Raw genomic sequence first — 27,115 nt, forward strand, 5'->3', positions numbered from 1 at the left:
TAACATTTTCATATACATGAAGTGAAATTGGCTTATAATTTTCCTATCTGCCACTGGCCTTGACTGGGTGGATTATCAAGAAAATACCAGCCTTATAAAATGAGTTGAGGACTATTTCCTCTTTTTGCATCCTCTGGGACACTTTATATACAATTGGCCTTACCTGTTACTTGAAGGTTTGATAGAATTTTCCTCTAAAACTATTGGGCCATTGGTGGGTTTTGTTTGGCTTTTTGTTGTTGTTTGTGAGCAGATTTTAAACTCCTGATGCATTTACTATAATCATTATAAGACTTTGCAGTCTTTTCATTTTCATTTTAGTCAGTTTAATACATTATATTTTTCTAGGAAAAATTTTCCTTTTATGCTGTCTTAAAATGTACTGTCATAAAGCTTTTTGTAGTATTTAAATAACTTTAATATTATTCCACCTTTATTATATCTATAATCATGTCCCTCTTTTCATTTCTTTTTTTTTTTTTTTAATTTTTTTGGCAGCCTCAACCTCCTGGGCTTCTTTTGCTTAATTCTCTCTGTACATATAGCTAATTGATCCTACGCTTATGAGTAGCCTTTTAGTATAAGTTTCCATAAGGACAACCCCATCGGGCAATTTCTCAATTCTTCTCTCTTTCTTGGAGCCAGACTTTGTAGACACCTTTACTTTCTTTCTCTTTCGAGACTTGCTTCACAGCTGTCCTGGCTGAGGATTCCCTTTGCCTTTCTTCTGATAGGATTCTCTTTTTCAGTATCTCACATTTTCCTTATTTTGTTTGAGCACCCCTTCCGGCATTTCTTTCAGATTGAAAATGTGGTACAAGGACAGGGGACAGGGTGATGGGCAGTTCTCAGCGTGCCAGTGTCCTGTGCCACACCTGTTTTCTGACTGCGTTCCGCTGTTGTTGTGCTCATATTATCCTTAAGAATCTCCATGCCCTCATGGAGACCCTCTTCACTCTTCTCCTTCGTCACCCTTCCCGTTTTTTCCATCCCCGTTCTCTTTCTTAGTTTCGTCTCTAATTTTGATAGAGAACATCCTCCATTGCTTGAGAGGTAAATGTTTTGAGATCTTGCTGAAATTATCTTTCTTCTGCCCTCGCCCCTGATTGGTAGCTTGGCAGAGGATTGTAGAATTCTAGATGGAAAATCATTGTCCCTCAGAATTGCCTTCTTGCATCCAGTGTTGCTGTTGAGAAATCTGAAGCCACCTTATTCCTGATCCTTTGTATATAATCTGTTTTTTTTGTTGTTGTTTTTTGTTTTTTGTTTTCTGGAAGCTTTAGGATCTTTTCTTTTTCTCTACTGAAGTGAAATTTCATAATATTGCGCCTTTGTATAGGTCTGTTTTCATAGATTGAGCTGGGGCCTTTAAACCTGAAAACATATGACCTTCAGTTCTGGGAAAATTTCTTGAGTCATCTTTATGGGTAGTTCCTTTCAACCATTTTCTGTTTGCTCTTTCTAGAAACTCCTGTGATTCAGATGCGTTTTTCCAGGACCGTTATTATGATTTTGTTTTCTCTTTCTTTCTCCATTTCTTTCTAATTTTGTTCTACTGTCTGGGAGGGTTTCTCAGTCCTAGCTTCCAGCCTTTCTACTGCTATCATGTTTGTTAATTTCCGACAGGATTTTTTTGTTGTTGTTTCTGTTATTGGTTTCTGAATGCTCCTCGTTTTATAGCCTCATGTTTTTGTTCATGGATACAACATCCTTTTTTCTCAACGTCTTCTTAGATTTTCAACAAGGCAAAATAGGGTGTAAGGGCCCTTGTGACTGAATTTTTAAGTGTTTTTAATTCCCTGCTTTGCTTCTCTTTCCTCTAGGTCTTTGTCAGTGATGTTTGTTTCTCTTCTCCTATTTTGCTGCCTTCCACCTTAGGGCTTGTGTCAGATGTCTAGCAATTCTTGATCATCTTCTCATGATCAAGTATGAGGGACTAGAAAGCTTATTGGAAGCTCTGAGTGACAGTGCTTGTTGACTTTGAGTGCCTATAGAATGATCTTTGGGTGCCATGTGATAGGAAGCCCTTCCTGTAGGTTTTAGGTCTTTTCTCTTGGTGGTCAGATTTATTATCTGTGCTTGGTGCTTCACAGGCAGAAGACTTGTTGGCTTCTTCAGAATGAAAACCTCCAGCGAGCTGCGGAGAGAGGGAAGGGACAGTTGCCTAGGTGCACAAAATGGAGAAGATGATCTGGAGATCCGCCTGCTTCTTCTTTTTTTTTTTTTTTTTCCGGAGACGGAGTCTCACTCTGTTGCCAGGCTGGAGTGCAGTGGCACGATCTCAGCTCACTGCAACCTCTGCCTACCGGGTTCAAGCGATTCTCCTGCCTCAGCCTCCTGAGCAGCTGGGACTACAGACGCCCATCACCACGCCTGGCTAGTTTTTGGATTTTTGGTAGAGACAGGGTTTCACCATGTTGGCCAGGATGGTCTCGATCTCCTGACCCCGTGATCCACCCACCTCGGCCTCCCAAAGTGCTGGGATTACAGGCGTGAGCCACCGCACCCAACCCTGACTGCTTCTTAAACAGACTTTCAACCAAATCTTTTTTAAGTAACTCTCACATAGACTTTCACCACCGCCACTCCCACTTACAGCTCATGAGCCTTACAGGATTCTATGGTGTAAACTGTGGCTTCTCTGCTTTCCCTGCTGCTAACTTAGATTCCACTTTTTTGAGTCTGCTAAGATAGTTACCATTCAACCATCTGTTCTCTGCTTCCGAAATATTTGCTCTTTTCCCCCCATTTTGTTCTCTTTATCTTCGTGGGTTGATGTCTTTTAAAAATCTCTTTATATATAATTTTGATTTGCATTTGAGAGTTAAATTGCATGCTTATTCTGCCACGTTTTTTCTACCACCTTTTCATTTTGAAATTGTTCACACCTAGTAAAAACTTGGGGGAAAATATCTACAATAAACACCTGTAGTCCTTCATCTAGATTCATCAGTGCTAAAATTTTGCAACATTTTCTATCTATTTACTGAATCATTTGAAAGCAAGTTCAGAATCACAATATTTTATCTCTAAATATTTCAACATTCAGCCCCTAAGAATAAGGACATTGTCTTATACAACAATCACACCATTATCACAGCTAAGAATATTAACGTTATTGTACACAATATCATGTAGTATCAGTACATTTTTAAATTGTATTACTTGTCTCCAAAAAGCCTTTTACAGCTTTTTTTTTTTTAAATTCCTGATCCAGTATTCAGTGTTCATACATTTCATTTACTTTTTGTCCCTTTAATTAAAAAAAAAAAAATCTAGAACAGACTGGGCATGGTGGCTCACACCTGTAATCCCAGCACTTTGGGAGGCCAAGGCGGTGGATCACTTGAGGTCAGGAGTTCGAGACCAGCCTGGCCAACATGGTGAAACTCCCACTCTACTAAAAATACAAAAATTTGCTGGGTGTGGTGGCAGGCTCCTGTAGTCCCAGCTACTCGGGAGGCTGAGGCAGGAGAATCTCTTCAGCCTGGGAGGCAGAGGTTGCAGTGAGCTGAGATCCTGCCACTGCACTCCAGCCTGGGCAACAGAGTGAGGTTCTGTCTCAAAAAAAGAAAAAAAAATCTAGAACAAATTATCCAATGCTCACTTTTCATTGTTTTCTATAACATTGCCTTTTTAGAAAAAATTTATTGTTTTTGGATAGTTATATTTAGGTTGACCATTTCAGGCAAGAATACTACTTGGGTGATTTGGTGTACTTTTTATTACATTATACCAGGGGATACATACTATCAGGCTATCATATTATTGGTGATGCTAAGTTAAACCTTTTGATTAAGGTAGCGACTACCAGATCTCCCCATTGTAAAGGAACATTTTCCCTTTATAAGTAATTATTAATATTCGAGACAGTGTAATTATCCTAGTTTTCAACAGCTTTTTGTACAGTGGTTTTAGCATCCACTGACAGTGCTTACCTAAATCATCCATTACACTGGGGTTGCAAAATGGTGATTTTGTAATTCTATCAATACCTATACATTTATTACATGGCTGTTGAAATAAGACCTTTTCCTCTTCCTTTTTCTCCTTCCTTCCTTCCTTCCTTCCTTCTTTATCTCTCTCTCTCTCTCTCCCTCTCTCTCTAGTATCATTATGGACTCATAAATCTTTTCCTATAAACATGTTAAAGTCTATTACCATCATTATACTGTATATGTTCTCACTGTCTTGGATTTGAGCAGTGGGAGCCCCTTCACTCCAGTTCCTGGGTCCTTTTGATGTAACATCTTTTGTCTTCGAGCACTTCTTTGTTTTCTGGCATAGTAATATGTTCTAGGTTTACCTTTGGACTTCCCCTGAACTCATGTGGAAGCATCAGTTTCTCCAAAAAACCCTAATTCTTTTTAGTAGGGAATGGAATTTAGAAACCAAGATTTGAGAGCTATGTGTTCTCATTGCTACTGAAATGTTATTGCTTCTAGACTCAAGATCTCAGCAGTTAGAGCTAGAAAATACCTGTACCTGAACCTCTTTCTATAATTATGCCTATGCCAATACATATTTCTGTATACTAGTGGGGTCACACAGATACCTCAAATCCAACAGCTCTGGGTTCTTCCTCATGCTTCTCCTTTTCCATATTTGTATCTCCTTTTTCCAACAGTGAAAACCTTAGTTTACCAAAACATCAATATGTTTACACATTTACCCTTCCCTACAGTATATGTACAAATAGTTTTATAATTACAATGCCAGTACCACTACCAAACAGTCAGTCTAAGTAAAGCTCATGATTTCTTTGCCATTCTTTTTCCTCCCTCTATATTCTTCTAAGGGTGTACAACCAAACTACATTGACTCAAAATTACTTCATAAATTAATTCTTTTCTCTTGGTAGAGGTAATCAGTTTAACATACAGTTAAATTCATTTGTTTTGCTTTGTATTCAGTGTTAGGATTTTCTTTTCTTCTCATTGATTTTAAATTTTATTTTATTTTTTGAATATGTAAAACATTACATGGTAACCAGCTGCTTGTAGGATGTGTGACTGCAGGTCACTGTGTGTGCCTCCTGTTTGGTAAGGACCATGACAAGAAATAGAAATTCCCTTTTTGTTGTTTGTTTTAGTTTATTTATTTATTTATTTATTTTTAGACAGAGTCTTGCTCTGTCACCCAGGCTGGAGTGTGGTGGCACAATTTCGGCTCATTGCAACCTCTGCCTCCCAGGTTCAAGTGATTCTCCTGTCTCAGCTTCCCAAGTAGCTAGGATTACAGGCACGTGACACCATGCCCAGCTAATTTTTATATTTTTAGTAGAGACAGCGTTTCGCCATGTTGGTTAGGCTGGTCTCGAACTCCTGACCTCTGGTGATCCACCCACCTCGGCCTCCCAAAGTGCTGGGATTACAGGCGTGAGCCACCGCACCTGGCCAGAAATTCCTTTTTCAAAGCAGAAATTTATTCTGTCCTAACTCAGAAGAAACCACAATAGTTTATTTGTGCTTTCTCTCTCTTTTTCTTGATCAGCCTTGCAAAAGGGTTGTCTATTTCATCTGTCATTTCAAAAACAACTGTTCCTCTATGTTTTGGTTTTGTTTTCTCTTTTATCCATCTTTGTTCTCATATATTTACTTCTTTTCTTTGATATTGCTTGAATTTACTTCAGTGTTTTTGACTTCTTAACTTCTGTTATTTATTTATTGAGACAGAGTCTCACTCTGTCACCCAGGCTGGAGTGCATTGGCATGATCTTGGCTCACTGCAACCTCCATCTCTCGGGTTCAAGCGATTATTGTGCCTCAGCCTCCCAAGTAGCTGGGATTACAGGCATACGCCACCATGCCCAGCTAATTTTTATATTTTTAGTAGAGACAGAGTTTCACCATGTTGGCCAGGCTGGTCTTGAACTCCTGACCTCGAGTGATCCACCTGCCTTGGCCTCCCAAAGTGCTCAGATTACAGGCATGAGCCAACGTGCCCAGCCCTTAACTTCTGTTTTAAATGCTTAGCTCATTATTTCTAAGGCTTTCTCCTTTTCCAATATAATTTAAAATTATAAATGTTCCTCTAAGTATGTTTTAGTTGCTTCCCACATGTTTTAAAATGTAGCATTTTTATTATTGTTTAGTTCTAAGTATTTTCTTCTCTTTTTAGAGGCAGGGTCTCACCATGTTGCCCAGGCTGGAGTGCAACGGAGTGATCCTAGCTCACTGCAGTCTCCAACTCCTGAGCTCAAGTGATGCTCCCACCTCAGGCTCCCCACTAGCTGGGACTACAGACAGGCTCCACCACACCCACCTACTTTTTAAAATTTATTTGGAGACAGGGTCTCATTATGTTGCTCAGGCTGGTCTTAAACTCCTCGGCTCAAGCCATCTTCCTGCCTCAGCCCCTTGAGCTGCTGGGATTACAGGCACAAGCCACCTCGCTCAGCTAGTTCTAAGTATTTTCTAATTCCATTATGATTGCCTCTTGGATGATCAGTTATTTGGAAGTATGTTTATAAATTTCAAAACATATAAAGTTATTTTAGATATATTTATTGTTATATATCTAACAAAACAATTATTGTCAGAAAACATCATTCACATGATACCAAGTTTTTGATATTTTTTGATACTTGTTTTTGGCCTAACGTTTTGGTCAATGTAACCAAATGTTCCTCATTTGTTTTCTGCAGTTGTTGATTACATCATTCTATATACTTACATTCTATGTACGAGTAGGCTTGTTGAATAGGTCTTTTAAGTCTTCTATAGCCTAGTTAGGTTTCTCTGTTTGATATATCAGTTACTGAAACTGGTGAGGTGGCATCTCCCTCTTTAAGAATTGTCAGTTTTGCCTCACAATTCCATTAATTTTTGCTTTATGTATTTTGAACTTATGTTATTAGGGACATGCAGATTTATAATTGATATATCTTCCTGATGAATTCTTCTTTTAATCCTGATGTAATCAATATTTTTATTCCTAATAATGCTTCTTTCTTAAAGTTTATGCTTTCTGATACTAATACAGCTACACCAGCTTTTTAAATTTAGCATTGAGTCTGGTATATTTTTTCCATCATCTTCAAATTTTTCAGTCTTCTTATGATTTAAGTGAGTCTCTTTTAAGTAGTGTGTTGGATTTTGTTTCTTTATTCATTCTTAAACTCACTTTTAACTAGTGACTTAAAACTATAGGCCAGGTGCAGTGGCTCACACCTGTAATAACAGCACTTTGGGAGGCTGAGAAGGGAGGATTGCTTGAGTCCAAGAGTTAGAGACCAGCCTGGATAACATGGCAAAACCCTGTCTCTACAAAAATTAGCCAGGCATGGTGGGGTGCACCTGTGGTCACAACTAATCAGGAGGCTGAGGTGGGAGGATCACTTGAGCCCGTAAGTCAGAGGTTGCAGTAAGCCAAAATCTTGCCACTGCATTCCAGCCTGGGTGATAAACTGAGACGATGCCTCAAAAAACAAACCAACCAAAAAAGCTACTTACATTTATTGTGGCACTGATACCTTTGAATTTATTTCTACAGTCTTAATTTGTCCTTCCGAATCACCCTACTTTCTCTATACTTCTCTATATCTTTTATATCCTCTACTAACCTGATAGAATTTTCTTTATTTTTCCTTCTACTGATTTGCAAATATATATTCTCTTTATATTCTTTTATTGTAACTCATGTACTTAACTAGTCTAGCATTAAATTAATATTCCCATTCTCCTCTAGAACATGTTCAAAATTATTAGATTGTTTTAATCCAATCACCTTTCCTGTCATACATATTACTTTGTTCAACAACTTTTCTATCACCTTATATATTCAAAATTAGTCACTGCTTTTATTATTGTTGTCTAGAGTTAATACTGTATTATGAGTTAATACTGTATTATATTTAGCCAATTGTTTATTAATGTCTCTGCCTCACATCCTTTCTTCCATGTTACCCTTTATTCTGAAGTAAATCCTTTAGAAGTTCTTTTAGCAAGTATGGTAAATTTACATGAAAACTTCTTTATTTTACTATTTTGAATTATAGTTTAATATTGTGAAGAATTCAACTCTTTGAAAACATTACTTTTCTGTCTCCTGGTTTCTGCATTGCTTTGAAAAGTCTTTTGTCAATATAATTAACATTTATTTTGTTTTGTTTTTATTTTCTCTTATTGGTTTGTAAGTGTTTCCTCTGGTTTTGGTGTTCTGAAGTTTCGTTGTGATATGCTTAGGTATGAAATTTTTAATTCTGCCTGAGACTCTTCTATAATTCCTAAATCTTAAGATTCATCTCTTTCATAAATAATGAAAAATTATCACACATGTTCCCTTTGAATATTATGTCTCTCAAATTTACTCTATTTTCTCCTATAGGAACCCCAAATAGCTGTGTGTTAGATTGTCTATTCTAGACTTCGTGCCTTTTTAACTGTTTTTATTTTACACCTTTTATTTCTCAGTGCTTCTTTCTGAATAATTTCTTCAAATAAGTTTTCCAGTGTAATAAATCTCTCTTTACCTGTGTCCAACATATGCTCTTTAATGTATCCACTGAGTTTTAAATTTCAATAATGGTATTTTCCATGTCTAGAATTTCTATTTGGTTCTCATTAAAACCTCTCTGTTCTTTTTCCAAAATACAGGATTTTTAAATATGTTTCTCAGGTTCTTAGCTTCTTTTCTCAAGTCTTTACTCATTTTAAACTACCTTATGAATGTTATCTAATATCTCTATCATCTGAAGTTCTTGGAAGTCTACTATTGCTATTTGTATGTGTGTGTATGTGTGTCTGCTGACTCTCATATTTGGTAGATTATTTCCTCTTACGGGCAAGGACTTTGGATTGTGAACTTACATTTAGCCACCTTTTCCGTGGAAACCTAGGCAGGCTTGGGTGGGAGTGTATTTCTCTAGAGAAGTTTTGTATTTGCTTCTGCCAGATACTACAGAAGTATCCCTCATCCAAGATCATTGTTACATTAGTTTCTTCATGTTGGATTTCCGTGATTATGTGGGTAAGGTAAATTTGAAATCCAAATATTGTCCTATAGATATTCACAAGAGCTTGTTGTTGTTGTTGGGTTTTTTGGAGAGAGTGGGGGTTGTTTTTCTATTCAGAGCCCAGAGACCAAGACAGACAGACTTGCTTGTTGTTTCTCATGGCTGGTGAATGGGTTTTGAATTAATGTAGCTTTTAACTGAGGGTGTAGCACCTCAAGTTATAGTCTTCTTACAACGATCTTAGTTCTGATTCCCTGCCTCACACAGGACCAAGATCTTGCATATCCTATACCAGCGTTAACTATTAAAACTCAAGCCTGTAGACCCAAAACTCTTGTAAAGAAAGCTATAACTTCAGCTAATCTAAAATCTGCTTTGGTTTTTATTCCTTTTGTTCGTTTTGGTCTTTAGAGATTTCTGTTTATCTTACCAATTCAACTATGTGTTTAAAGGATGTTTAATGTAATGCAACATTTCTAGGTATTTTGCAGTGGGAAGGTCTTTGATTTTTCAAAATGGTGTTTTTTCTATTCTGAATGCACTAAACAAAAGTTCTAAATAAAATGTAGACTGTCCTAAAGGAAAAAGAGGAGGAGTTTAAGATAAATAAGAAATTAATGTATTCATGAAAAGATTAAGCTAAAGGTCATTAATTTGATTTGAGAGTGATAAATACATCAAATTAATGGTTCATAAAGACTTTTATGCTAGATGTCTTATGTATTTGGATTTTATTAATAGATTTGTGCCTTTTTTTTTTTCATTAAGGAAATTCCATTCTTCTTCTGACAGCCAGACGGTTAGAGCTTCTCCAGATTCATGGCTCACCCAGATAATGGAGCAGCATCAGCAAGCCTTGGTGCAGCTGACCGACGTGCAGCCCAGTGAAGGGGCCTTATCCAGCGTCACGCTTCCACCTATACTGTCAAGGGTAGAAAGTGAATCCCAACTCAGTTCAGAGAGAAGCCAAAGAAACCAAGTGAAAATTAGCCGTAGCAATTCTGAAGGCTATCTGTTTCAACTGGAAAAGGGAAAAAAGCATAAGAAAAGAAGCAGCAGTAAGGTAATAAAAGCGCCATTTTTACCAAGTAACTCTTCCATTTTGAGAATACAGATGGACCTTGATGTAATTATAGCCCTGGAATAGGGATGGTCATTACTGAGTTGCTGCCACACTGGGTCGCCCAGAGTCCTAAGGAGTTTCTTACTCCTGCCCCTGCTACTCCCTGGGGTTTCCCTCCCCTTCTTAATAGAAGTTGTTGCTGCCAGGGATGCCCATTTCTCCCTCCTGTTCAAGTCATCTTGGCGAGAGGTCTCCATTTGCAGAGTGGCAGAACTCCTCCTTTCATCCCCAGCTGAAACATCTCTTCCTTAGGAAAGCTTCCATACTCCACCCCAAGCCCCATGCTAACCTGAGTCTTCATGGTTATTAAATCATTTCTTCCCAGGTCATTCTCATATCTTAAAAAGTAGAGAAAGTAGGGCTGAGTGAGTGAAAGCGCCTGTTGCCATTGCATTTTCCCACCATCTGCCACTATGAGGACTCATCTTGGCCCTAATCTCACCCCAACTTCTGCAGTAAAATACCTGGGCTGGCCAGTGATTGAACTTTCCTCTCAAACATTAGCTGACCTTTACTGAGTTCTTTGTCTCAAATCACCATTACTAGCACCTTTGCGCACTTCAGTCTTTTCTCATAGGGCCTACATGATTTAACAAGTAAAATTGGGGACCCAAAGTAGAATGTTTTCAGTAAGAAATGAAGGCGCCTAGGAAGGGGACTTTTTATGTCCTGTGTATTTCTCTTCTGTCACTGGCAATAAAAAGCCCTCAGGAAAGGTCACTTGCTTCCAGTGTCAAATCATAAGAAAAAAGCTGGAAATGCATTCTGTTTTACAGGCAACAGGGAAAGGCCTGGTTGAAAGCAATAAGCCTGTGGTGAGTTGGGTTTTCAGGGAACAGACTGAAATGGAGATTTGCATGCAGGAGGTCTCTAGACTGAAATAGAGATTTGCATGCAGGAGGTCTCTAGCAGAGCAACCTGGGGTACCTTTAAGGGAGTGAGGGAAGCGGGGCTGGGCAGAGATGGGCTGTGATGCAGACACAGCAGTAGCCTTGGCCAAGGTTCTGAGGGTTCTAAAGTTGGGGTGGCCCTTCGAAGGCAAGGGACCCAGGCTTTTGTTCTCCCATACCAACCTGCCATTGGATAGTGACTGCCCCTGGGGAAGGGTGGTCACTTTGTGCACAGCAGCTCCACGTGGCTGAGGCAGTGTTTAGGGAGGAACTCAGCTGTGAGCCATCAGCAGACAACACTCCCAGCGTCTGGAGAAATGAGTGCCTCAGTACAGAAGGGCCTCCGCGCTAAGACCACTTGAGAGGAATTAAGCAAACCATTCCTAAGTTGAATTCAGTTTGTTATTAAATAATTTCTAGGCCGGGCGTGGTGGCTAACGCCTGTAATCCCAGCACTTTGGGAGGCTGAGGTGTGTGGATCACCTGAGGTCAGGAGTTCGAGACCAGCTTGGACAACATGGTGAAACTCCGTCTCTACTAAAATACAAAAATTAGCCGGGCATGGTGGCAGGTGCCTGTAATCTCAGCTACTGGGGAGGCTGAGGCAGGAAAATCACTTGAACCTGGGAGACGGAGGTTGCAGTGAGTCGAGATTGCACCATTTCACTACAGCCTGGGCAACAAGAGTGAAACTTTGTCTTAATAATAATAATAATAATAATAATAATAATAATAATGATTTCTACTAGGAACTTGGAAGATGCTGGGATGTAAAGATGAGCTATGACCCCTCCTCAGAGGAAGCTTCCAGTTGCATGGAGCTTGGGAAGGCAGACGTGTAAATGCTTATTATGTTGCAGTATAATGTTGCAAGCAAAAAACAAATAATGATATTAATTAATAATAAAAGTAATAATAATAATGTAGGCATGCATGGGGAGCACAGAGGAACGTAAAGGAAAACTGATATCCTGACCTGGGGTCAGGCAAGGCTTCAGAAGATAATTCAGAACTGCGTCTTAGAGGGTGATGAAGAGTTGGCAAAGAAGACTGCAAGAGCAGGCTGGGCGCGGTGGCTTATGCCTGTAATCCCAGCACTTTGGAAGGCTGAGGTGGGCAGGTCACAAGGCCAGGAGTTTGAGACCACCCTGGCCAATATGGTGAAACCCCGTCTGTACTAAAAATACAAAAATTAACCGGATGTGGTGGCAGGTGCCTGTAATCCCAGCTACTCGGGAGGCTGAGGCAGGAGAATTGCTTGAACCTGGGAGATGGAGGTTGCAGTGAGCCGAGATTGCGCCACTGCACTCCAGCCTGGGGGACAGAGTGAGACTCCATCTCAAAAAAAAAAAGAAGACTGCAAGAGCAATTCAGGCGGGAGTACCAGTACGAACAAAGGTTCTGAAGCTGTAACATGGTGCATGCTGGGGATGAGAGCATTTCAGGTCCTTGTGACTAAACCTGGGAGGCAAGGAGTGTTGAAAGATGGAAGCGGAGTGGTGGATAGGGGCCAGGTCTTAGAAGATCTCATTTTCCATTCAAAGAAGTACTTTATTGTGTAGGACGGGGGGATCATGGAGGAATTTTAAACTGGTTGGATTTGTATTTTAGAAAGGCAGCTCTGGCTATGGTGTGCAGGGCAGATGCAAGACATCCCAGAAAGTGATGGGATTATGAAGTCCATGGATCCTCAAGTGGGGCCTTTAGAGAAAAAGATAAGGGGTGGCCTCAAAGAGAAAGTGAAACTGGCCTGGATCAGGCAGCAAGAGATACTAACGAGAAGAAAAAGAGGATGTCTTGGGGCTGAGATATGACCCCACCCCAATCCTGCAGCTCCCATCTTGAGCCCCTCTGTGTACCCCGGGTCTTCAGCTCACAACCCTAGAGTTCTTACCCCAGCTCCTTCACATACCCCCACCTGGGGATCTTTGAACTCCTCATTCCAACTTCACGCTCTCATGTCCTCCCCTCTGCTGGGGACGGGACCCTATCCGTGCCCACGCTGTGGAATCTGCAACTAGTGACTTGGAGCTGGGAGAATCCCCGGTTCCACTGTAAGTAAGGAGAAAGGTGTTCCTTTTTTCTTTTCTTTCTTTTCTTTTTTTTTTTTTTGAGACAGAATCTCGCTTCATCGCCCAGGCTGGTGTGCAGTGAAGCAATCTCGGCTCACTGCAACCTCCATCTCCCGAGTTCAAGTGATTCTCCTGCCTCAGCAGGAGTATCTGGGATTACAGGCGCACACCACTACACCCGGCTGATTTTTGTATTTTTAGTAGAAATGGGGTTTCACCATGTTGGCCAGGCTGGTCTCGAACTCCTGACCTCAGATGATCCACCTGCCTTGGCCTCCCAAATTGCCGGAATTACAGGTGTGAGCCACTGCGCCCAGCTACAAACGTGTTTTTTTAATCACAGGTAACTTCTTTTTCCACAGAAACATCATTACATGGTAGTTAGGCTGTAAGGTACTATTAGCACTGTTTTCAAGAGTTTTGTGAATAAAGTAGGTTTTGAAGACTTGACTGGGAAGCTGGACATCATCCGTATTATTTCTATAAGGACATGTATTCAGAACACATTTTCGAGGTGAGGACAGCCTATTCACTGCAGTACATATAGATTACCAGGGACTAAATTTAGCTCAAACACACTAGCTCACAAGAGAATCTTCCAGGTTGGGGTTCTTGCCAATGATGGGTTGTTGCTGAAAATGCAAGCTTTTGAGCTCAATTCTCACTCGGCAAGATTTAGAGGAAGCCATGGACCCATTCATTCCTAGGTTCTCATCTCTGTTCCCAATATCTCTTATGACTTGGACAAGTTATTAATTCACCTGAGCCCTCATTTCTTCATCTACACAATCAGAATTATTCTTTCTTTTTGTAGACTTAGTGTGATGTTAAGTGAAATAATGTATTAAAACTACAGCTTAGTCCCTAGCAAAGAAGACATCAACTAAATGTTAGTTTCCTTTTCCTTTCCCCTTCTTTTAGTTAATTGAATTTATGTTTTACTGAGAAAAGTAGAGGAAAGTACTCCGACGACAGTGTGTGTCACCAGAAATCTAAGCGCATGGGAGGTCAGGGGAGAGGAAGGAAAATTTGCAATTGCTGCCTTCCCAGCCATCTTTCCAACTGGGGACATCCCCCTTCCTGCTTTCTATCAGGAATGTTACAATCTGTATATCCATTTTCTCAATCCAGCACTTTCAGCTTACATCTGACAAATTCACAGAAGTGCTCTTTGTCCTTTAAGCTATTCCAGAAGCTAAAATGACTTAGAAATGAGCTATTTGTATAGGACAGCAGGTAGTCAAGGCACCAGACAGAGGGGATCATTATCCAGGTCATGGCCATTTGCTGGTCACGTCAAATCTTTTGGTTTCCAAGAGAATCGCCCTGAATCACATTAAAACTTGGAGGATTTGTAAAGATAATAGGCCCAAGCACCCTTCCTCTTCTCCTGACAGCTCTGTTGTAACTGAGTTCCGAATGCCAGGCATTGTCCATGCCATGAAATCTAGACATCAGGCAGTCAGGGATCAAGGGATGGCAAACAGTATAAAAATATCTGTTGCAACCCACCACAAAATGACTGCTTCAGGAGTTTGCTGACAGCTAACTGTGCTGAGCTGAAGTAATTAACTCATGTGTTTGTTGTCACAGACAATCTGGGCATTGCTGCTTGACTGCTTCTAAGAAGGGGTTTATTTGGATTAAGTTTAGCAACTGCAGAGCAAATTTCCTTCACTTGCTGTTCCACAGTGTTTGAGGCATTGTTTTTTGTCGTGTTTTTCAGTAACTTTCTCACACTTACACATCTGAGGAATTTTCTGGAGAATAGCTCTGCAGTGGCCCCCACAGCAGGGTACCACCTTTCAGAGTTGAAACAGGTCCTCACTGAACAGTCAATGTCACTTCCAGTCGGGGCACACTGTGTCCCAAGTTTACAATTAAAAACTCTGCTGTCTTGAGAAGAACTGTGGTTAATTCCTGGTACAAACCTTGCATCAGGAGAGTCCTATGCCATCTTCCACTAAAGCAATCAAGTGTGAACACCAGTGCAGAGGGGCTGGTCTGGCCTTAACAATCCTCAGATGGTGCCAGAGTCGGTAGATGCCAGCTCATGTGCATCTTATACAAAGACTAGCAGCAAATCTCATCAGGGATTGGTTGAGAGCATGCCTGTATTTTCCAATTTGTTCCCCTTGTGTTTGGAGACTTAACAAGACTATCATTGTTGATTTACTTTTTTTTTTTTTTTTTAGTATTGTGTTACTATGACCTTTTAGTCTTGTAACAGCCATGGAGAGGTAAATCAAAGTAAATTCTGGGGATTATTTTTACTATAAAAGACTTTTGAAGAGCCAGAAAGTAGATTAGTGGTTGCCTAGGGCTGGAGGCGGAGGGGGCAAAGGGAGTAACTGCTAATGGGGACAGGATTTCTTTTCAGGGTGATGAAAATGTTCTAAAATTGGAATGTGGTGATGTTTACACAACTTGGTGAATATACTGAAAACCATTGTATTGTACAACTTCAAGTGGGTAAATTTTGTGGTATGTGAATTATATCTCAATAAGCTGCTAAAAAGACTTTTGATGGAGAGAGATCAAACAAAATTGCACCTCTGAGAACAAATCAAGATTACTTGCGCCAACCTTAAGTAAATCCAAGATTTTTCATTGCCAGTCACCCAGAACAAACTCCGTTAGGAGCCATCACCGTCCCTTGAGAAAGGTCCCGTTGCTATAAGCACTTCATCCATCCTGTAAAGGGATCAGCAGCACTTGGAGATCACCCTTTAGGCCACACTCTGTCCCTTCATATCGAGGTGTAATACTAGACCCTGGCTCTGGTTTTCTGTGATAGCCAACATGTTTATTGGAGTTAATAGTAAGAACTGTGGCTGGAGAGTACTGGGCAATTATTCATGCATCACAATGTGTCTTTTGTAAGTCAGTGGAATGATTAGAAGTTAAGCTGCTTCAGACTTAGGATGTGATTTGTGAGCACTGATCATTTCTTTCTCATCATCTTTGGACAAATTGGATTTATGACTTGGACATGAGCAGGGTTTTTTCCTTCCTTTTAATCATTGGTTTACTTTGGCAAATAGATAGTAATTCAGTGACTGCAAAACAACCATACAGATGGCATACGTGAGAGAAAGAACAAATTTGCAATTGTGAAATATAAGTTGTCTGAGTTCATTCACCTATTGAAAATTGGTAAAGGTTTTAAAATGTGAAAATACCCAGTATAATCAAGGTTTGGACAAAAAGAGCAATCTTGTGGCTCCATTGTTAGTGGAAGTGTTAATTGATGGCCTTAAACATATTCATTTTATTTCAATAATTCTATGGCTATTAACGTATCTCAAAGAAATAATCAAAGTAGCCCAGAAAAACAATGCTTACCCTAGGACATCTTAAATGTTCAACATTTAGAGAAATAGCTAAACAGTCCAACAAAACTAGACAATAGAATGTTATGCATAAAACTCACATTTAAAAATATATATATACTGACAGAAAAAATGTACTATAGTACTAAAATGCTTAGAAAAAATAAGAATTTGGGCTGGGCACAGTGGCTCACCCCTGTAATCCCAGCACTTTGGGAGGCCCAGGCAGGCAGATCACCTGAGGTCAGGAGTTCGAGACCAGCCTGGCCAACATGGTGAAACCCTGCCTCACTAAAAATACAAAAATTAGACAGACATGGTGGCAGGCGCCTGTAATCCCAGCTACTTGGGAGGCTGAGGCAGGAGAATCACTTGAAACTGGGAGGTGGAGGTTGCAGTGAGCCGAGATTGCACCATTGTACTCCAGCCTGGATGACAGAGTGACACTCCATCTCAAAAAAAAAAAAAAAAGAAATGAAATGAAAAAATAAGAATTCATAGTGAATGGACAATTGTATGAAAGTATGAACAGACAGATATAATGGAGAGGAAGCAGCTATCATGGTTTTGCTGAGTAGTGACTTCTGTTTTCTTAAAGGAGATGTATGATTTTGAAATACCCTTCAATGAACAGTGTGTCTTCTGCATACTTTAATGTTACTAATTTTTTAATGATTTTAGTTCAAAGCCTTCCTTAAGAATCTTGTTTTACTTTTTAGAATTAGAATTAGAGTATTGACCATAAATGTTTAACATTCTAATGGGGCAAATTCTATTTTACAGAACTTTGAATCCTTGTAGTGTAGAAGTGTTGCCTATGTAGCACATCATTTTGGCCCTTTTAAATTATTAATGCAACATAAAAGTGCTGAGATGTTAGGAATATTGCCTTCAGTGGGCAAGTAACACAATTACCATTTACAGTGATTTCTGAAATATGAGTTCATTCTTCTTACATACAATTAGTCCACAAGTGATTGCTAGCACTGGTGGTTCCACAGCTCAGAACATCAGAACCAGTATTGTTGTGATTCTCCTTTTTCCTGGCTGCAAAATTGCTGCTGCAGCTCCAGCTCCAGGAATCACATCCTTACCAAGAAAGGGAAGGGAAGGGGCTACCACAGCCTTAAAGCTTTCCAAAATATACACTGTACCCCAGCAAACTTTTGCTTAGACTTCATGGGCAAGAGTTCAGTGCTGAGGAGAATGTTTGTCTTTTGAACATCTACAGTGGGAAGTGGCAGTGGAGAAGTGAATTGGGATGACTCTGGGTACTCAGTAGACCACAGTGAGTAGGACATGTTCTTGTAGTGGTTGATACAGTGTGTTTACACAAGTTCATTTTTAAGATTGGAGAGTTATATGCAATAATTATACCTAATATGAGAAAATGTCCTATTTTAAGTCTCTGGACGACCTCTGCTAAATTCTGTCTTAGAAAAGGGCAAGTTAGATGTATATCTTAGGACTTAGTACTTAACAGGAGCACAGCTGGTCGCGGTGACTCAGACCTGTAATCCCAGCACTTTGGGAGGCCGAGGTGGGTGGATCACTTGAGGCCAGGAGTTTGAAACCAACTTGGGCAACATGGTGAAACCCCATCTCTACCAAAAGTACAAAAATTAGACAGTCTCATAACCTGGCCTCAAACTAAATAAATAGATAAAATTTTTAAAATTAACAGGAGATTTCAAAATTGATAAAAATCCTGTGCTTTGTCATTAACATATAGACAGGGACTAACATCCACAGTTAGGTACACAACAGCTGCTTCTTCAATGTGGCTGATTTTTCTCCATTTTAAGTAGTAACTTACGTGTGCCTTAAGAAATTACTGTCATCCAACCACCTCTTTTATATCGTCTTTCCTATCCTTCCCAAAAAGGAAACCAAATTAAGTAACAAACTGAAATTTAAAAAGGATGTGAGTTCCCTGTAAGGGGAAGTAGCGAGTCTAAACTTCAGGGTTTGTTGTTGTTGTTGTTGTTGTTTTAAATAGAATCTCTCTCTGTCACTCAGGCTGGAATGCAGTGTTGCAATCTCAGCTCACTGCAACCTCCGCTTCCCGGGTTCAAGCGATTCTCCTGCCTCAGCCCCCCGAGTAGCTGGGATTACAGGTGCCTGCCACCACGCCCACCTAATTTTTGTATTTTTAGTAGGGATGGGTTTTCACCATATTGGCCAAGCTGGTCTCGAACTCCTAACCTCAGGTGATCTGCTCACTTCAGCCCCCCAAAGTGCTGGCATTACAGGCATGAGTCACCGCGCCCAGCCTAAGCTTCAGTTTTAATTTTGAAAGCAGTGGTTTGGGGAATATCTTAATCTATCAGGAGACAGATAGGCAGTAGAATATTAGGGTTTTTTCCTGCCTATTATTGTGCTCAGGTGCCATAATCTAATCAGTCAGTTGTCTCACTTTCTTGCTTTCTGTCCTTTTAAATGGGCAATACTAATAAGAGTTGTCATATTCAATTCTATGTGCCCTTCAAAATATCTGAAATCACACTGAATGAACAATATGAGTTTCTTAGTGAGTCTTGCCAAGACTCTCAAACACTTACTTTTCTCTTGAATATTATAAATAGATTATCATTGTTTTTCCCTTAAAATTATCTTTTCCCCCCAATAATCAATAGCAAAACTTGAAAGGTTGCTACCTTCTTCACTTCTCTTCTGGATTGTCTCTAACGGGTAATGCTGTGACATCATTGGACAGGGTATTCTCTTTTTGAAGCACTGTGTTTATCTGGTGCATTTAGATACCTTCTTCCAGGGAAGTCATTTGGCCCAGTAAACTGTCTAAGACTGGACAAAATGGTAATAGGAACAGTGGCAAAGTAATAACATATATGTTGTGTTAAAAACGTTAATAGCAAGGGCCAGGTGAAGTGGCTAACATCTGTAATCCCAGCGACTCAAGAGGCTGAGGTGGGAGGATCACTTAAGCTCAGGAGTTCAAGCCCAGGAGTTCAAGTCTAGCCTGGACAACACAGCAAAACCAGGTATCTCCAAAAAAAAAAAAATAAAATAAAAAACATTCGTAAGAAAACAGGACATCACTAGCTTGAAAACTTTTATTTGTAATTTCAGAATTTTAAGTTTCTTTATTGCAGAAGTGGAAAAGTGAAAACATGTTAGCTAACCAGCTACGAATTACCAAAGAGACTATTACCAATAACTACCATGAAAATGGAAGCATTGTCAGGAAATGCGGCCATTCTCTGACAGTGCACACAGGCTTTCATTATTTTCTTTCTTACTTTATGTGGCTATGACACCTTACAGGGTGTTAGGAGTCGGGGGACACACAAGTCCTTAAAAGAAACTGTTTCTGTGGTTGTATTTTTAGAACACCAAGCTGAAAGGTTATCAGAAAAGAGACGTGAAGCTTGGAGGCCTCGGACCTGACTTTGAGTCCATCAGAGACAAAGTGAGTGAGATGCACATACAGTGTTTCCAGACCTGACTCAGCCCATCTGTCTGTTAGGAAACTTTATGAAGACGCCCCCCAGAATTAAACCCTAATTCAAATGTCTCACTCTGAATAGAGACCTTCTGAAATAATCTTGGTATAGAGACCCAGACACGTGCCTTTTGCCTTAAAATAAAAATATTTAGCCCGTGTTGTTTTATGTATCTGTCTTTCAGTTAGTTTTGAAGGCCCGCACGGAAAAGTGGGGCCTGTGCACCTGAAAAGAAATGTGTATGTTATGTGGTTGTTGGTCTTTCCTACTAGAGTTATCTTGATAATTGTGAAGAGTGGCCACAGAGAAGACACTTACGGGAAGAGTTTCCCAACCCCTGAAAAGTGCATCCACTTTATTCTCTTTCCTCTAGTGAAAGGAGATCTTCATTTAATGTGTTTTAACTGCAGTTGCACTCAAGGCATAAAAAGAGAGTATAGTTCAAAGTTGGAAGCAAAAATGAAAATAAATTGGGTAAATGCAACAAAGAAGGTTCTGAATGTGATTTAGCCCCTGTTAAGGGAATACCGGGCGTGATATTGCAGTGATGTGCCTCCTCACAGAGAGACTATTTCAAGGAGAAACAATTAACTTAACCATTTCACTGCTGCCACCTTACTCAAGGTGATCCCATTGCTCCTGTACAGCTGATAAGATACGCCCAGTATACTGAAACCAGGGCATCGCTTTAAATAGAGAGCAGAGAGAACTAGCAGCACCTGGATTCATCATAACTTTGTTTCTCTGAACAGACGCAAAAATTAATACAGCAAAAGGAATATGCAAAACAAGTCAAGGAGTACAACATGAAGACACTATCCATTCTATCAAAACCACAAACAGAAAAAACTCAAAAGAAATCTGCTATCCCTCGGCAGAAGGTAAGAAATTCTCAACAAGGCATTTATTTTTTCAAGCAGAATTAAAAGGAAACTTTTATTATCGCTTTTTTTTTTTTTTTTTAATTAGCCACAGAGTCTTGCCGTCTTGCCCAGGATGGTCATAAACTCCTGGGCTCAAGCTATCCTCCAAACTAAGCCTCCCCAAGTGTTGGGAGAGGCACCACACCCAGCCCGTTTTCTTGTAACTTAAAAAAAAAACCTTCCCATTTTTTTGGAACGCAGGAGATGTTTTAGCTACTTCCATTCCTGTAGCTACCCATCATTCACAGATAGCAATGCAATAGTGACACACACACAGTCACACACACACACACACACACTTTTGTAAAGTTAACCTTTGTTTTTCCTGAAGTTATTGTCTCCATGTCTTTTCTTCCAGGAATAGTATTTTAAATGTGTCACACATAAAAATTAAATAATAATGTGATTTCTTAAATGAGCAAGCTTCATCATCAATTTTATTTTGTATCATTAAATAAGCTTTAAGGCAGTTGTTGTCTTCTTGCTGCTTATATGTCAAAGAAAAGACATATAAACACTGTTTCTCTCAACTTCATTCCCCTACACTCTCCATAGGGATTGTAATATATAGGTTCCTCTATTGAAGAAAAATGATTTCATGGAATACAGAATGTTCTCCCTCTCAGATGGCATCAACCATCAGTTGTGATGTGAATGAAATATGTACACAGAGCTTTGCAGTACAAGTCTCTGCCTCAATTGATCTATCCAGTCCCTGTAAGGACACGGGACCCTTTGCATGAGGAACAAGAGATCCTTTGGTGCCTGCAGGAATTTGTACTTCATGTTCTCTTTCACAGACCATCATATTTTCTATTTATTGCCTTTCTTCCTCAGACCTTGAAGACCTCAATCCACTTGATTGAGTTTCTATGGTGCTACTTTTTCTTTTTTCTCCAATCCATTTTTTTTTCATGAAGAGTTTCAAGGCAACAAACCTATAATTAGAAATATCTGTAGCATTCACCTACATGCACTGAGAAGTCTAGACTTTTCTTTTCTACATTTTAGAGGGTTTTTTTTTCCCCTTGCAGGACTGAAAGCATACAATCCATTTGTATTTCAGCTATCAACAACATCTTACTAAAATGCAAAACTGTTATAAAGGCAGGTTTAGGAATCATATTTAGTGATCTCATTTTTATTGTAATGCCTTTCAGAACTGACATCACTGAGAAAAAGACTGCCTTTTTCAGCGTCTAGATTGCTATAGAAAGAAAAAAATTTCAACCTCAAATACTTTCTAGATCCTAGGAACAAGAATAGCTGGTATAATGATGGGAGCTCAAGTGTATGTAAACTACAGTGATGTCTTTGGTCTCAAGCTGTAACAAGTCTTCTTTGGATAGAAAGGTCTATTAATATCTCCTTAATAGAAGTTTGGTTTTACTAAGACTTCCGGAAACTAAGTAGACCAAACACATAAGAAGGAACACTTGAAGGAAACTCAGTTTTATGACAAAAGCATCCAAAGGACACAACCGTATGTATTATTCTTCAACTCCTTTTTTTCCACAATATATTGTTTTGTGGCTAATGTATTTTGTTTAAACTGTGTGTTATATTGCATTGTTTGATCTCCATTTCCACCAATGTCTTAGTAAGTTATAGTGATAGTCTCCATTTATATTATAAATAAACATTTCCTAGATTTAATTTAAGGAATCCAGGCTCACTTCCCATTTCAAATAAAATTTCATCTTTATGCGTTTAGGCTTTGGAATACGCTAAGACCATCCCCAAACCCAAACCATCAAATCTGACTCATCAAGCATCAAAGGAACAAAAAAATCCAACCTATGCTGGGAAAGAAGAAAGTTTACCTGAAATCTCACTGCTGGAAATACTGCAGAACAGACACGAAAGGGAAAAACAGGCTGTGGCTGCTTTCAAAGTCCTTCACATCGTATAGACAACATTTGATAGGAAGGAGACCAAAAATGGTCCAGGAATGAACGTGGAGAAAAGAAACGCCAACCACCTTCTCTGCGTTGAGAGTAATGGCCTATTATTATCATCTATCTGCCGTCCATGTTTGCTTTCTGCAGGATTTAAAATATGAGGCCCAATTGGATTATGGTGCCATATTTTACTTTCTAGGAAGAAAATTTTTTAAATTATTTATTTTCAAATCAGTTAGAATTGGAGCTGAATAATAACTAGAGAATAAAGCTTTTGTTTTATATTGATCTTTTGATTTCTTCATCTCTACCCCATTCCTTAGCATAATGGAAACCTTAAAGTTACCCAGAAATAAATGTAGCTGTGTTTCTCTCTTACCTTCCTAGTAAGAAAAACAAGTATAAACATTTCAGTTTCTCCTAAAATGAACTCAGTCATCCATAAATTTTGTGATAACATTTCAAAATATTACTAAAATCTCCAAGTTTGGCAAAGGGCTTATATATATTAAGTTGAGGCCGGGCACAGTGGCTCACGCCTGTAATCCCAGCACTTTGGGAAGCTGAGGCAGTTGAATAGCTTGAGGCCAGGAGTTTGAGACCAGCCTGGGCAACATGGTGAAACCCCATCTCTACTAAAAATACAAAAATTAGCTAGGCGTGGTGGCGCATGTCTATAGTTCCAGGTACTCAGGAGGCTGAGGCACAAGAATTGCTTGAACCCGGGAGGCAGAGGTTACAGTGAGCCGAGATTGTACCATTGCACTCCAGCCTGGGCAACAAAGCAAGACTCTGTCTGAACAACAACAACAAAAGGTTCCTGCCCTGACAGATTCTCTGGTCGGGGTCACAGGGATGTTAAGACAGCTGGCTGCCTGGGTCTTCGCTGACCATGCTGTCCTGGGTGGCACTTTCTGCCACTGCCACAGTGGCCCCCTCTCTGTAGAATGCAGTTTTCTTAGGTCCAGGGGTATTGCAGGCAACAAGGACCTTTCACACAGGGAAGCCACTCCTTGCCCCTCTACCACCTCTTCCTTCCTTTTCCTATAGAGGAAAAGTTCGTTTTGGGCTGATCCCTGAGGAATTCTTCCAATTTCTTTATCCTGAAACCAGTGTAACAGGACCCTATGTGCTCCAAACTGGGCTTATCTTGTATGCTTTATCCAAAGAAATATACATGATTACCCCAGAGACCTTTTCTACTATATCAATAGTAGGGTTACTTGTCTATGTAATTTAAAAATATGGTGCCTCTATTGGAGAATCTGCTTATCAACTCAATGAGCAAAACATTGCCCAACTAGAAGAGGTGAAGCAGGCTTCCATCAAACAAATCCAGGATGCAATTGATTTGGAGAAGTCGCAGCGCTCACTGGTTCAGAAGCGCCATTACCTTTTTGATGTGCAGAGGAATAACATTGCTATGGCTGTGGAGGTTACTTACTGGGAATGACTGCATAGAGTGTATAAGGAAGTAAAGAATCGCCTGGACTATCATATATCTGTGCAGAACATGATGCGTTGAAAGGAACAAGAGCACATGATAAATTGGGTGCAGAGCATCTCTGCACAACAGGAAAAGGAGACAATTGCCAAGTGCATTTGGGACCTAAAGCTGTTGGCAAAGAAGACTCATGCACAGCCAGTTATGTAAATGTATCTATCCCAATTGAGAGAGCCAGAAACAGTTGACTGACTAAATGGAAACTAGGCTATGTGGCAAAATCTTTCTGTATTGCCCTCTACTGAAGTAGATAGTTTATATCTCCTAAAAATGAAACATTTGTTCCCTATACTGAGAGAACTCAATCTATTGGCCAATCAGATGTTTCCCATCCTTCTTACTCAGCATTTGAGTTGTTCCATGATCATTTTTTTATTGTTGTTTTTTTTGCTGTTGTTGTTGTTTTTAGACAGACTCTCGCTCTGTCACCCAGGCTGGAGTGCAGTGGCACAATCTCGGTTCACTGCAACTCCGCCTCCTGGATTCAAGCGATTCTCCTGTCTCAGCCTCCCTTCAAGCAATTCTCCTGTCTCAGCCTCCCGAGTAGCCGAGATTGCAAGCGTGCACTACCACGCCCGGCTAATTTTTATACTTTTAGTAGAGGCAGGGTTTCGCCATGTTGACCAGGCTGGTCTTGAACTCCTGATCTCAGGTGATCCGCCCACCTTGGCCTTCCAAAGTGCTGGGATTACAGGCGTTAGCTACTACACCTGGCCCTATGATCACTTTTGAATAAGCAGTTTGCCTTTGTTAAATCTTGGTGCCTGACTAAAGATTACCAGGTTATAGTTTAAATTTGTAATTAATTCTACCATCTTGCAATAAAGTGACAATTGAATGAAACACAAATAAATAAAGAATAAAGTTGAAAAAAAATGAAGGTACATCTGGCTGTGCCTGCTCAGATAGAACAAATCCTAATGTTGTTCTAACAGAGCATCAAGACATTAGTTAGAAACCCTCCAACAAGTCCAGAAACACCTAATGCAGGCAACTCTGAGAGACACACTTTATCAAAGCTCCTTACTCCAAGTACATAAATTTGCTGGCCATTTTGCCATCACAAATATCTTAAAATATTGTCAAATGTGTGTTTTCACACACACAAAAATAGATAAGACAAAAGCATTCCATAGTTTACTACTGAATACAAATGTTAATAAATATTTTTTAGTTTTTAAATCTTTTTTAATATTGCAAGAATTCCCAGTCTTAAAATCATTACTGGAGAGTTTAATTTTCTACTTCCTTCCTTATATTAGATGGACATTACATTTTTAGATAGGCATATCCAGAAGTGGATAATTTGAACATCAATTTGGGGAAAATCTGTTTATCTATACGTGTGGTGTAAGGACTAGCTTTGGAAATGTACTCCTATGTTGTATACATTTTACATATACCAAAATGTAGCATAAAAGATGCCTGTATGAAACCTTCTCTTAAAACTGAAAGCAGTTAGAATTGAGAGTCTGCAAAGATAACAAGTATCTGAAGATAAACAGAAAACTGGTGAATCATGTTTCAGTGGGATTTGGAAAATGTAATATATGAGGCATTAGACAGGAAAATCACAGGCCAAAACTACTCCTAAAATGTATTTATAAGAGAAGAGGCCCTTCTAGGTGCATGAAGACATTTCTAGAAATATGAGGTAGAATGAATAACCTTCATTAATTGTTTCCGAAATGGCCTTAAATTCGAACTTAATTTGGAAGAGAAAAAGAATGCATATAGAGACATTCATATTTAAAGGGATAGGGTAAAATTTTTAAATATTCCATTTGTATTATCTTAAAATAGTTTAGAGCTTGGAAAGTTTGTCACATTCAACTGCCAGTTTTTCAGAAGATGAAATGGAGGTGAAGAGAAAGGTTACATGACTCGGAAGTCCATCAGTCCTACTGAGAGTAATGGGAGGGGAGCCAGGTCTGAATCTCCCATCTTTGAACACCAGGAATAGTACTTTTTATTTGTCTATGGAAAGAGGTTGTCCTTGTTTCTCTGTGTGGATGAGCAACATATAGTTGCTATGAATTTCTATTTTGGACCTGAATTTCCACCAAGTTCAATTTTTAGAAATATGCATTACTATGTACCTAATAGTTTTTTAGCATGTACAATCTGCCAACTTCCTTACAACATTGATAAAAGTAGAATACACATATAAAGCAACTCAAACTTAGAAACTGACCAATAAAAGAGACACTATTTATTTTCTTTTTTTTTTCCAGAACATTTCAAAAACTTCCCATACTGTTTTTCTGTTAGCTTAAGCGTTGTTAAATCCTTCACTTTCACACCTACTGTCAAGAACCCAAATTTGGCTGAAGCAGCTTAAGTGATTCAGTTCATGTCAAACAACATTTCACAGGATTCTTACCCCCAAGGCAACTCTTTACTATCCAGTACATAAGACTCTAGAACATTAAAATTCTTTATATAGTGCCATGTGGCATCTAAAATAACTTTGGCTAGGAAATAAAACATATTTGCAGAAAGTTTGGGGTTGAAATCAAAGAATGGATCAAAGTGGCCCTTCATTTGGCTCCACGTCATCTCACAATAGTGAAATACAGCAGAATGTCACTAAACTACCATAAAACTAAGGGGAGAGATTTTGCAAAAACAGGGAGTGACAGACACGTTTTTTGCTCCTGTTTTAAAGTAAATTGTACTAATGACAACAATAGTGATCTTTTATAGGCCCAAGTTGGATCAGTGATCAATTCATAGCATTTCTGTTTCAAATATTCAAAAGCAAAAAATAATCTGCCAATTAGAAAACAAAAAACTTCAAACTTAAGTGATGTAATGATGGAGCACCTGTATTTGACTAGATGTTATATACATGCCATTGAAAGACATAGTACCTAATCTGCCTAATGTCTATAAACTGGTGCAAATAAAAGACATTTAAACCATGTATTCTCTCTTATTAAAGCCTCCT

The 27,115-nt window shown here is 39.3% G+C and overlaps 1 protein-coding gene and 1 pseudogene across 4 annotated transcripts in view; both read left to right on the forward strand.

Annotated features, from left to right (window-relative positions):
- JHY (junctional cadherin complex regulator) overlaps positions 1–27,089 on the forward strand; it is an 81,104-nt gene extending 54,015 nt beyond the window's left edge. For 3 of the 4 annotated variants that reach the window (NM_001363089.2, NM_024806.4, NM_001363088.2), the window contains 4 exons: positions 9,725–10,019; positions 19,723–19,803; positions 20,590–20,718; positions 22,475–27,089. In NM_001363089.2, coding sequence (NP_001350018.1) covers positions 9,725–10,019; positions 19,723–19,803; positions 20,590–20,718; positions 22,475–22,672 — 703 coding nt within the window. In that variant the 3' untranslated portion in view covers positions 22,673–27,089. The remainder of the gene's footprint in view (positions 1–9,724; positions 10,020–19,722; positions 19,804–20,589; positions 20,719–22,474) is intronic. The other variant, NM_001363087.2, reaches the window with a different exon arrangement.
- ATP5PBP5 (ATP synthase peripheral stalk-membrane subunit b pseudogene 5) lies at positions 23,480–24,511 on the forward strand (annotated as a pseudogene).
- Positions 27,090–27,115: the final 26 nt, after the last annotated feature.

This window comes from Homo sapiens, chromosome 11 (assembly GCF_000001405.40).
Source record: "Homo sapiens chromosome 11, GRCh38.p14 Primary Assembly".
NCBI classification, from domain to species: domain Eukaryota; kingdom Metazoa; phylum Chordata; class Mammalia; order Primates; family Hominidae; genus Homo; species Homo sapiens.